This window comes from Homo sapiens, chromosome 5, assembly GCF_000001405.40.
Source record: "Homo sapiens chromosome 5, GRCh38.p14 Primary Assembly".
In the NCBI taxonomy this organism is placed as follows: Eukaryota; Metazoa; Chordata; class Mammalia; order Primates; family Hominidae; genus Homo; species Homo sapiens.
This window is the reverse complement of record NC_000005.10, coordinates 10,418,331-10,431,195: the sequence shown is the minus strand read 5'-3', so window position 1 is coordinate 10,431,195 and position 12,865 is coordinate 10,418,331. Positions and strand designations below refer to the sequence as shown.

At 40.0% G+C, this 12,865-nt stretch overlaps 1 protein-coding gene across 10 annotated transcripts in view, besides 1 other annotated feature; it reads right to left on the bottom strand.

Annotated features, from left to right (window-relative positions):
• The window catches only part of MARCHF6 (membrane associated ring-CH-type finger 6), an 86,694-nt gene that overhangs the window by 9,193 nt on the left and 64,636 nt on the right, over positions 1 to 12,865 (bottom strand). For 7 of the 10 annotated variants that reach the window (NM_005885.4, NM_001270660.2, NM_001270661.2 and 4 more), the window contains 3 exons: positions 7,372 to 7,461; positions 4,674 to 4,806; positions 1,168 to 1,303 (listed from right to left, as the gene is read on the bottom strand). In NM_005885.4, coding sequence (NP_005876.2) covers positions 1,168 to 1,303; positions 4,674 to 4,806; positions 7,372 to 7,461 — 359 coding nt within the window. Of the gene's footprint in view, positions 1 to 1,167; positions 1,304 to 4,673; positions 4,807 to 7,371; positions 7,462 to 11,568; positions 12,521 to 12,865 lie in introns of those variants that run through there. The other 3 variants (XM_047416612.1, XR_925577.3, XM_011513934.3) reach the window with 3 other exon arrangements.
• Positions 9,165 to 10,364: an enhancer, noted in NCBI's record as "MED14-independent group 3 enhancer chr5:10420944-10422143 (GRCh37/hg19 assembly coordinates)". NCBI's record gives its function as "activates an origin of replication core promoter dependent on BRD2, BRD4, P300/CBP and CDK7 cofactors, and independent of MED14, by STARR-seq in HCT116 cells {active_cell/tissue: HCT116}" and the evidence as "EXISTENCE:reporter gene assay evidence [ECO:0000049][PMID:35650434]".

Here is a 12,865-nt window from a genome sequence, read left to right as displayed (position 1 = left end):
AGTGTACTTGTATTTTTTACTGTCAGTAAATGCTTTGGAGAAGTCTTGAACACTATAAATTTCATTCTCAAAAATCTTACTCCTCAGAATAAATAAGGTAACTCTATAATTTGTTGTGCAAGGGGGGACAAGCACAAGTAAAAGGGGGTAGTGTTAATGACACAAAGGCAGCAGGTATAAACTGGGACTCTCTTGGCCGACTGAGATGGATAAACCATAAACTCACTTTCTCTGCTAGAACCCATTGAAGCAGATGATTCAGCCTACAGTTCGGACATAAAGGTCAAATATTATCCCAGGAAGGTGTTTTCCTTGGCTTTCCTCAATCTCTCACTGAGATCAAGTGACAGAGTTTTCAATGGTTTCCTCAAAACAGAGAGTCCCACAACATTTTTGCAGTAACCCTCAAGCCTCTCTGTGCAACCTCAGAGTAACCTAGTGGCCCTCTATAAGCAAGAGGGGCTTATGCAGGCACTGCTAGTTTCTAATGCAGGCTTCTTATTTTTATCTAAAACTGTTTAATATACTGTCAGACCAGAACATTTGAAAACAGACTGAAAAACTATTTGGAATGGACATTAAAAAATCTCTTGGCTGGGTGCAGTGGCTCACACCTGTAATCCCAACACTTTGGGAGGCCAAGGCAGGTGGATCACGAGGTTAGGAGATCGACACAATCCTAGCCAACATGGTGAAACCCTGTCTCTACTAAAAATACAAAAATTAGCTGAGCATGGTGGTGCACACCTGTAATCCCAGCTACTTGGGAGGCTGAGGCAGGAGAATCGCTTGAACCTGGGAGGTGGAGGTTGCAGTGAGCCAAGTTCGCACCACTGCACTCCAGCCTGGCAACAGAGCGAGACTCCGTCTCAAAAAAAAAAAAAAAAAAACCACCACCAAAAAAAAAAAACCTCCCTCTCCAAAACAGTTTCACCCAGTCTTTTCCAGCTCCATAAATGACAACTCCATATTCCCTGTGTTTGGGCCAACTAAGTCCTTGATTCCACTCTCCTTCACATGTCACAATCTGTCAGCAAACCTTGCTAATCCCACCTCCAAGTATATCCAGAATCTGAGCATGTTTCCCTCCTATGATTTGTCACATCAGATACATAAATTAAGAAGTGAAAACACTTAAACAAGAGACGAACAGAACGCCAGACTTACTTGTCATTTTTAATATGTTCATAAAGGCGCTTAAACTGGCGGACTTGGAAGGACAAAATTGCCATCAATACCACGACCATCAGTAAAAATGGATAAATCCGCCGATGGACTAAGTTTTGCATTTCCGCAGTAACACCTAGAAAACCAAAAAAGAAAAACTTTCAGTGTATGTGAAATAACAGTGACATGAAACGTAAACATGTCCTTCCCCTAGAAGAATGGACTGGGGCAGACAAGCTTTCTAAGCCCCAGGTCTGTTAACTTTCTACAATCTGTGTAGGTCATGAGCCCTTTCTGACCCCCAACTTTCTCATTTGTAAAACAAGGAGGCCAGGCATAGTAGCTCGCGCCTGTAATCCCAGCACTTTGGGAGGCCAAGGCGGGCGGATCACTTGAGGTCAGGAGTTCTAGAGCAGCCTGGCCAACATGGTAAAACCCTGTCTCTACCAAAAAATACAAAAATTAGCCAGGTGTGGTGGCGTTGCACCTGTAGTCCCAGCTACTCAGGAGGCTGGGGTGGGAGAATCGCTTGAACCTGAGAGGTGGAGGTTGCAGGGAGCCGAGATCAATCAAGCCACTGCACTCCAACCTGGACAACAGAGTGAGACCCTGCCTCAAAAAAAAAAAAAAAAAGGAACTGGACGAGATGACTTCTCATGTTCCACAAGCAGTGGTGTCATTGATACATTTCTACTGCACCACAGTTTAAAGAAGCAAAACCAAAACTGTGCTTATATAATAAAAAAATCCTCAAACTTTTAGAACACACATGTATTTATTTTTCTATATTTAACTCATGAGTTTTAATACTTCTTTGGCAGAGGGGACTGGGGGGCTTTAAAATCAGAGCAAGTACTTTCGAGGAATTCAGAAAATTAATACCGTCAGGTGGATTATTCCAAACACCACAATAGTGTGCTGTGCATAAGCTCTGGAGCTGAGTTTGAAATCTGAATGCTGCTCTTACTCCTTAAAAACCAGACTTTGGGGTAAGATTCTCAATCTCTATGAACCTCAATTTCCCATTTCTAAAACAGAGTTGACAAAACATATTAAAAAGCTACCCTAAGAATAACATGTAAGAATTACATAAAGCATCTAAACAGGGCAAAACAGGTACCAACATTTTTCATTTGCCACTCTTTTTCCCTTCCAAAGTCTTTCCAGAAATGCTCACAATAAAATTTTTAAAAATGAAAACATGAATGACTGGGTTGGAAATCCAAATTCTTAAGTCTATATACTATTAATGGGCAGAACATAATATATGCTAATTAGAATAAAAAAGAAAATAGGGCATTCCTACTCTAGACAAAACCAGTAAAGAGATTGTTCTAAAGAGTCAAAATAATTTAATTTTAAAGACGTATTCAACTAATAAGCAATGCGCTGGGTGTGGTAGCTCATGCCTGTAATCCCAGCACTCTGGGCGGCCGAGGGGGGTGGATTATCTGAGGTCAGAAGTTCAAGACCAGCCTGGCCAACATGGTGAAACCCTGTCTCTAACAAAAAGACAAAAATTAGCTGGGCATGGTGGCGCATGCCAGTAGTCCCAGCTACTCAAGAGGCTGAGGCAGGAAAATCGCTTGAACCCAGGAGGTGGAGGTTGCAGCGAGCCGAGACTGCACCACTGTACTCCAGCCTGGGCAAAAGAGCGAGACTCCGTCTCTCAAAAAAAAAAAAAAAAAAAAAAAAAACTAAAAAGCAATGGGCTTTGAAATATATTTTGCAGGAAATATATATTTGCATTTTAATATGGTATTTATGATACTTGGCATAGTCACAATTCAAACCAAATAAAAGCCTTGAAGTTTCTACTTAGAAGGAACCAGGAAATGATGCAGTTTGCACACTGTGGGCCCTCAGCTTAACTGTTCCCTGTTTCCCATGCCATCCTGCAGACTGAGGGATACATTGCTCAGCCTCTCTCTATACAAACCTGTGTTGAGCAATTTTTTTTTTTTGAGACAGGGTCTTGGCCTGTTGCCTGGGCTAGATTGGAGTGTCACAACCTGAGGTTAGCCCTGAACTCCTGGGTTCAAGCAATCCTCCTGCATCAGCCTGCAGGGCAGCTGAGATTACAGGTGTGCGCCACCACTCCCAGATAATTTATTTTTATTTTTTTTAGAGGTTGGGTCTCGCCATGTTGCTCAGACTGGTCTTCAATTCCTGGCTTCAAGCAACCTCCCACCTCAGCCTCCCAAGTAGCTACTGCACATGGCTAATATCTTTACTGTCTAAGAAGCAATGAGACTATTAGAAGTCAAACCAGTGGCAAAAGGTAAAGAAGGGCACACACACAAAGGGCTTCCAAAGGGCTGGAAAAGTTCTATTTCTTGACCTAGTAAGGTAACATACAAGTATACATGTTACACTGCAAGTTTGGTTGTGTGTTTTTTTTAAGCTCCTCTCTCACGGTTAAAGGGAGGACGGGGTCATTTCTGGCAGATGGATAAGACAAATGAAAATGTGGAGACAGTTATGGAGAGGACATTGTGTGTTTGATAAGAGGCCATTCCATGGTTGTTTAATCAAAACTCAGAGTATATGACATGGAGTGAGGTCAAACTGAAGCCCACATCAAAGCAAAAGGAGGAGCCTTGTAAACTATGCCAAAAGGTTGGACTGCATTAAAGGCCACAGAGGAACCAATGAAAAAAATGTTCACCAAAGAGGTACAATGAGATTCATTCTTTTGAAAGGTCATTGTGCCCAGTGTGGAGAAGGAATTAGTGATGGCAGGTTCAAGGCTGGGAAACCAGATAGGAAGGTGCCAAAGTTAGGGTAGGAGACGAATGACTCAACAAAAGTCAGGAGCAAAGGCTCCAGAGACGAGAGACCAGATTCTTCAGGGAAGAATGGGACACTTGGAGACCAGAGGGACATGGAGGACAGAATAAGGTGACATGGATAGCCTTCAAGGTTTCTGACTTATGCAATTTGTTGGATGATAATGTTTGCTGCTGAGAGACGGAATTCTGGAGAAGAAAAAGATTTGGGAAGGAAAAGTCTCTGCTTATAATTTTGAAAATATGTTGGGTTTAAGGAGCTATGAGGAGTCTTCACTACACAATCAACAAGACAGTGTATTTCAGTATAAACGTGTTGCCCATTAGCATCTCCTCTTTGGATCTTTTATGCCAAAGAATATTTCTTTAAAACTTAAATACAACAACACTGTTACTTAATTTTATATGATCACAGCACTTCTAGTCAGAAGAAGACAACCTGAAGGAAATCTGATCCTGCCTATTTTGTACAGCATGTAAATTTCAAGTTTTATCTTCTGGTAGAGAAAAGAACTGTATCAAAGAGCTTTATGATCCTCTAATCTTACCCAGAATAGTCAAATCTAAGAAAAGTGGTATTTTGAAATCATTGTCTTAGCTGGATTCACATTTACAAATAAAGCATATGGAGTGAGACATCCTTTTTACTAGGGGTAAAGAGAATGTCCAATGTTAATAAAAGTGCTCCTTCAAGGCTCCACAACCAGCATTACGTACCTAGTAAAGGAACAACACCAGAAGCTATGACATAAGGTACACACAGGGAAAGCAACAGCACAGAGATCACGGGAGCTGCCAGTTTACGAACAATATAGTGAAGGTCAATGTTCCGGATGCCATTTGCGTAAACCTGAAACATTACAAAAAGCAATTAGAACAAAGATACAAGACAAATTCCTCCAAGTTAATACAGCAATCTCCACACAACTGAATCTGCCAACCCAAAAATAGTCAAACTGGTTACTTCTTCTAAAGTCAAGGCAAATTCTGGTATATCAACATAAGCATAGTGCCCACGAGTTTCTGAAGAAATGTATTTACCCACTAACGCTCTGCAGTTAGCTCTGCTAAGTGATGAAATAAGACACTAATCTAGAATAATTTATACTCTACTTGCACTATACAATACCAGATGACATTCAGTGGTATTCATTCAAGACCACATTACTTGAAGTAACTTCATACATCTTATGAAAGAGATACGTAATATGTAATATTGTGTTATTATACAATATTGCATTCATTTTATCTGAGTATGATGAGAAAACACTGAAGCAGGAAGCGTTTCTGAAAAGCTTGCATAAATCAAATTTTAACAAATCAAAAGGTATTTAAAAATTTAGTATGAAAGAATTCTATAGTGAATATAAAAAAAGCAAGTCCAAGAATTACTAGAATATTTCCATCATCTTATCCAGAAAATTCTACAAGAGTAATGCAGAGGAAAGAATGGATGGAAATGGGAAAACCCTGGGAACAGAAAATTTAGATGGAGTGCAGACAGAAACAAGGCTTAGAAGGCTGTTATTTTCTTCTCCTCTTGCCTCACCAGCAGCACTTAAACCTCTCTTAGCTGTGACTGAATGTAGCATAACTCAACCCCATCACCTCGGAATTTGAATGGCAAACATGCTTAACCTTTTAAAGGCATGCTGCCATTCCCAAAGACACCTAGTTAACCCAAATGCATTTTAATCAATGAAGCAAGGCATCCCAGTGTTTCTCAACCATTTCCAACCATTTTTCTTAAATTTACAGAGACACACACGCACATACGCAAGAGAAAACAATGAATAAGATAACAAATTATTTAGAAGATCAATGATGTTCCACAGCCTCCAGTATGAATAAATCCCATCTCCATGCTCCTTTTTCAAGGGCCAGAGGCTAACCTGGCCATTCTAGAGTGTACTGGCCTGCACTCTGATCCTGAAGGGATATGAAGCCAGAAGCCCCCAATCCATCACACTCCTGGTGGACTTCAGAATTAGCCCATACTTTAGAGACACACACAAACACACTGCAATTTGCTGGCTCCCTAACCCCCCTACTCCTAAGAATCAAAATCTTGAAATACAGGCACTTTTTGAACAGATTTTCTTGAGCATGCTTGGCTAACTACTGTCTTTACTTCTCATACAGCAAAAAGAGGTGTACTTTACTGCTGCAGAACTGTTATGTCTTACTTATGTGGCACTGGCCTAAGGATAAGAGGGGTCCCCACAAGTACATTTGCCATATAGCTAAAGCGTAAAGTAGCAGCAAAATCTGTTATGTTGGCCATTTTGGATAGAAATTTTCCTTAAATGAATTACCATACTTTCTAGTCTTATTATCGGAGTGCTAAAGCACAGTCTACCTTTTCCAAGGTATTCCCACAACAATCAAATTATCTGGCAGTTCTGTAATACAATAATAGTCTTAGGTACTATGTAGCTAGATGAAGCCAAAACAGCTCTCCTTTTGTAATGTTTTTTCCTCTGTCTTCTTTTATTACCTCGAGCAATAACCTTTCCCCCACTCCAAATCTACTACAGGCTTAGAAACATTAATATCAACCTTCACCAGAAAAAAAGCACGTATTTTCATTTTTGTCTCCACTATGAACAGGGTTCTAGATACCGTAAGCTACTGGTTAACCTTCAGATAAAGGATGGCTTAAACGTGGTTGATGAAAATTCATGGGAGTATAGAAAACCACAATATGCCACCCTAAAAATATGCCTCTTAGGCATAAGGATTGTTTTGAGTTGAATGCAACTGAGAAAGAATAGATGCAGGAAAACTTTCCGTCCTCCCTCTATTGCCTAGAAGCAGAATATAAATGTATAAAGACAAAAGGTAGCCCACCCCACTTCCCTACACCATGAAGGACAAAGATTACCCACTGAAGAGAGCTTTGGGCCTTTCTGGGCCTCTAGATGGCACCAGAGGAATCAACACTGCCAAGCTTTACTAAGGAGCCGCATCTGCCAATTTTTTGCTTCCCCTCACTTGCCACCCCTAGAGACTCAAAGTCCTTTTCCTTCATCTTGTCACTTCTCTAAAAATTTATTATTCTTTGTTGAAGATTCGTTGGAATTCAAAGCCACCTCTTTGAAATTACTCATTCCCTGGGTATCTCCATGTATATATGAAATATGTACTTTAATAAACTTTTGTTTTTCTGTTGTCTTTTATTAAAGGGTTCCATTTTAACTAAAAAAAACAAGGGTTGAGAACAAATTATTTTCCTCCCCTACAGTGGTAAAACTAAACTGCTGTCTTTAAAAAAAAAAAAAAAGGTTATATATGCCCATCAAAAAAAATGTAGAAAACTCAGCAAGGTAGGAAGATAAGAAATAAGAGTTATAGCTGCCAAACATAAACACAACCAATTCCAGAATGTCTTTCTCTGAAAACTGATTTTGCTTACCTGTTCAATTACAGTTTTCAACCACCACTGAGGACCCATCAATGTTATAGCTGCAATGATTTTGGCATGCAGGACTCCAAGTGCCCAGTCCTAGGGAATTAAAAACCATTTAACATATTTCTGTTGTTTTTTAACAATAAACACAGCAGAGAGGCTGTATAATTTTCTTACATTATTTCACATCAAAATAGAAGTTCTATAGGATTGGCAACAATTTTACAAAAGACTAACGTACTGAAAACCCAGAGAATTTTTTTTCTTCAACAGCTCAAATTCAATGTTTCCATCAAAAATTGTTCTTCTATCTTTTAAAAATCTATATTGTTTTCCCAAGAGTTAGAGAAAGTCTGGTCATTAATGGATATCTCAAAAAGCAAATAAAATAAATGCCAAGATTTTATTTCAAACTATCTTTAGGCTATTTCATTGGTTTCAAGTGAGCTGATTTATGTCAAATTAAGACTGTGGAGCAAAGTTTGGCCTAAGAAACCATTCTAAAGGCTCACAGATAGCTTCTAGCTTGAAGCATTTGTGGTTCTACTGGGGAACTGTTACTAGGTTCCTCCTCATGGTGCAACGGACTCTTGGCCTGCCCACCCTCCAGCTCTCCACCAGACAGAGTGATGACTACTTCCTCCCTCCCCACAGCCCCCTTCCCCACCACCACCAAGTATCTCTTTAAATGCAAATCAGATCATGAACGTAACTTCCCTGCTTAACAACCCTGAAGTCCTTAGCAAGGCACACAAAACCCTTTATAACCTGGTCTCTATCTAGCTTATTTAAAACAACAACAACAAAAAACGGTATTAAAAAAAAAAAAAGAAACCACATGTAACATTTAGACTGATTCTTACATAAAACCAAAATCTTTACAGAAAAGACGGGAGTCCTCTGTGATCACTACCTTAAATCCTGATCCCTCCCCAGCAATAACCACTATTAGCTTTTGGTACATACCATCCATGTTTTTCCCCATGCATTCAGCTGCATCTATACATCTATATCCCATAGAAAGTATGTAGTATCATTTTCATATGGACTTTGCTCAGATTGTTAATTCTCCTCTTCACTGTCTACCATCTTGAGGCCAATGTTCCCATTTCTTTACTGGTTTGATTGGTTATTCTAAGGATCTTCTTCAAATGGGGTGAGAGGTTGATACATACACTGAATTCTTGAATACCCTCAAATATCAATCTTCACCCTGATAGGTGAACAGCTAAATGATTTTTTGTCTGGGTAGAGGAAGCTTGGCTTTTGTCCCTTTTACCCAGTCGTCTATAAATTCTCTGATCTTATGGTTTTCAGTGCTACAGAAAAAAAGTCCAATGACAATGCAGTTTTTTGAAGCTTGTTTTGATTTCCCCGTGTCTAATAAGATATACCCAATTACGTGTTTTTATCTTGGATCTCAATCTTACCAAATCTCATGAGCCCCTTCAAACTACAGAATCAGATCTTTCTTCAATTCAGTTAAATTTTCTCCTGTTTTTGTATCAATGCTGCCTCACATTTGTTCCTTCTGGAACCCCCGTTATCAGTACGCTAAGTCTCCTAGATGTTTCCTCCAAAACATTTCTCTTTCTCAATTTCCTCTTCCGTTTTGCCCAGTGCTTTGCATTCATCTTCCAAGCCTCCAAGCCAAGCCCAGTGGTGACTGTCCACATCTTTTTTCACTACTAGATTTGTCTGAAATCTATGTCATACAGCTCCACAACAACTGCGTTCTGCTTTAGAGCTGCTGTTTGTATGTGCGTGTGAACATACTGCACTCGGCGTCCGTGTATTTCCTCTTCTCTCTGGAAGCTCATGGCTCTGCAAGCAGTGCTGTCAAACTGGCATGTGTTCTGACTGCTCTGCCTTAACTTCCTTTCTGCGGCTGCTAAGCCTCCTGCATATAAAGCACTTGTTATAATTTCCTCTGCAGCCTCAAGGAGGCTTGGGCCTGGCTGAGAATATCCTAAAGGGCTTCAAAAGGATCTTTTACGTCTTCAGACCTTTGGGATAGCCCTCCAACAGTCTCCTACTGAGGAACATGAAGAAAGCCTCCCTGCTTTTTCTCACAGGCAGGGAAGATGCAACAACCCACCAATTCAGCTTTCTCTTGGCCTTCTGGGAGTCCAGCAGACACCCAAATGAGATTAATGTTTACCCAAGGAGGTCCAAGATCACTGTGATTCGCGTTCTCCAAAAACCCACTGCTTTGCAGTCCTCTCCTGCCAGACAGGACACACCACACTAGCTGCTCTGCTAGAATTCCAACTGGCCCACTATCCCACGGAGCTGCAGCCACTTGCTGCAGGAAAGGCAAGTAGCTTAAAGTCATGAATTAAGAAAAAGCAAACTGTTCCTTCAAAAACTTGGGGGTTTAATGCAAAACATTAAGGATAGCACGCTGCACATTATCTGTCTACAGCTTGTGCTTTCCCCCAACTCAGAAACACGTCTGGGAGCTATCGATATCAAAACAAATATCTCTACTTCATTTTTTCAATTGCTGCATTGATATTCCACATTTTATTTGGGCATTCTCTATTGGTGGACATCTAGATCACTTCTCATTTTTTGCTATAAAAAATGATGTATTTGCAGAAACAGCCTTGCTCATGCCTCACAGTAGATTCTGAAAAGCCAAACTGCTGAGTCATAATATATAAGCATTTTTAAACTTTGATAGTACCAAAGAATTCTCTAAGGTGATGATGATTTCAGAAGTAATGCTGAGTACTGTAAAGACCACCAAAAATACAAGTATAACTAGAACAAGTTGCATTTATTACTCATTGCAGCAAGGGAGTAACACATCATGGAGAACTTGGGGCCCCTCAGTAAGAGTGCTAGAAAGGGGTTATTACAGGATTTCAGCTTATGTTAGGGATTTGGGGGAGGATTTAAGAAGCAGGAATTTGGTCTGTATCAGATGCTATTAGAAAGCAGAGTAATCTGTGAATGGTTATCTTAATAAATAAATCTTATCTAGAAAAAGTGGCAGAAGCTAAAACTGTAATTGGTAATGAGGCAGTAACCAATCATGTTAGCCAGTAAAGGGGAATGTTTGGTCATTTCTGTGGTTTGAATAATGCTCCTGTTCTGTCTGTGTTCAGACATGATTGCAGAGGGTCTTGCTTTTGTCTTCCTCTATCTTGATCACAGAGTGACAGTGTATGATGTTGATGTTCTGTCAAATTGTTTATGTCCAACAGGAGAACACTAAGGCCTGGCTAACAGTGCCAAGATGGCTCCTTGATGCCACGGGATGCTCTGGCCTTTTCCAGGGCTCATGCTGCGTAACATTAAAAGGCAGATAGTATCTGTTTGTCCCATTTGCAGCAGTACTTTGCTTGATCACTGACTGGGTTAGGGTATTGTCAGCCTGACCCCTCCACTAGTTGTGTGTTTCCCTTTGAGCCATAAAGTAATCCATAAGGTGACACTTTGCCACCATTCAAATAACCACTTTCACACTGCAATGTAACATACCTGCAAATTATTTTCCCATCATGTGGTAGGGGGTCTATGTCCTCTTCCCTTGAATCTTAGCCAACATTTGTTACTTGCTTATACCCAGTAAAATGTACTGAAAAGTGATGTTGTAGGCCTTCTGACATGGGGTCATTAAAGATGATGCAGCTTCTTGTTTGTGGGGTCACTCATTTCCCTGAACTACAACGTAAGAAGCCCAAATACCTTGAGGTTACTTAGCTATGAAGCAGCCCAGGCACATATAGGAGCTCCAGTCAACAGCCCCAGATGGGTAGCAACCAACAACAAGCATCAACTCTCACACTGTTAAGTGATCACTGACTGGGTTAGGGTATTATCAGCCTGACCCCTCCACTAGTTGTGTGTTTCCAGCCAAATGATTCCATCCATAACTGTCAAATCATTCCCAGCCATTGAATCTTCCCAGCTGAGTCCCAGATAGCACAAAGCAGAGGCAAAGTGATATGCCCTGTCTTAATATCTGACCCACAGACTCTATGGACAAAATTAAAATGGTTGTTTTAAGCTGCAAAGTTGCGGGATAACTTGTTACACAGCAATAGCAACTGAAGACTGATCAACCTTTCATCTGTTGGGTTCAACATCCATTAACAATCCTTGCTATAATCAATTATTTTGTTAGGTATTGCAAAATAGTATTTTTCTAATCGTGTTAATCTCTCTACCTTTATTTGCTGGCATTTTTCTGTAAAAAAAAAAAAAAAAGGTAGCTCTTTCCTTCAATTACAGATACTATTTGACTACTCTGGAATACGGCTCTTACAGAAAGGCATAACATATGCTTAATTAGATCCTCCTCAACTTACAATGATGTTAGGTCCAGATAAACCCATCTGTAATTGAAAACACTGTAAGTCAAAAATGCATTTAATACATCTAACCTACCGAACATCATAGCTTAGCCCAGCCTATCACAATGCGCTCGGAACATTTACATTAGCCTATAGTTGGGCAAAAACTTCTAACACAAAACCTATTTTATTTTTTGCCTTGTAGTATAACTGAGGCCTAACAAGCCTACGTAATTTTATAATTACGTAGTGACTATCTCATGCAATTTACTGAATACTATACTGAAAGTGAAAAACAGAATAGCTGTAGAAGTACTCAAAGTACAGTTTCTGCTGAATGTGTATCGCTTTCAACCATCAAAAAGTTAAAAAGTCATAAATCAAAACACAAGTCAGTTCTGTACTTCTTTGTATTACTTATTTCTCACCTATTCTAGTCTATGAACCAGACTAGAAAGGAGGCAGTTCCCCACATATGCATGCCTTGTCTCAAGCCAGGTCTGCCCATCTCCCTCCTGGAATATACTTCTTCCTTTCTTACCCACTTCTCTGTTCTCTACTAGTTAGGTTGGCTTAGATACTATCTCTTATGGAACACCATACCTGAAACTCCCAAAGCTAGATTAAATGTCTCTCCTACACAATGCCACAGTTCCTTGTGCTTCCCCTAATCACACCACACAACACCTGTGTACCTGTCTAGCTTTCCCATCAGAGTGTGTAAATTCCTCAGGAAAATTACTGCACTAGCCTCATTTTCATCTGGGTGATACAATCCAGGGTGTGGGTACACCATTAAAAGCACTTAAATAAAAATTTTCGGGTAAATGAAGTTTGTGGAGGTTCTCCATCTGGAAAGCAGAAAAAGGGAAATACGGGCCAAATAATTTTCATTTTCTGAAAAATCCATTGCAATATACTAACAGATAAAAACAAAGCTAAAAAGCCTTTGAATGACTGAAGTCAATACCTAGCTCTTTTCCCCCAATACCTACTAAGAACTTGAGATCTTAATTCTATGATGTTAAAAACCTCAGGCTCTAAATACAATAGAAAAGTTCCATTTCTTTTTCCATGAGCTTTAAGACCTTTGCTGTGACTTACATGGGTTCCCTCAGGATGCTCTTGGTTTTTTTTTTTTTTTTGGAGACAGGGTCTCACTCTTGTCGCCCGGGCTGGAGTGCAGTAGCATGATC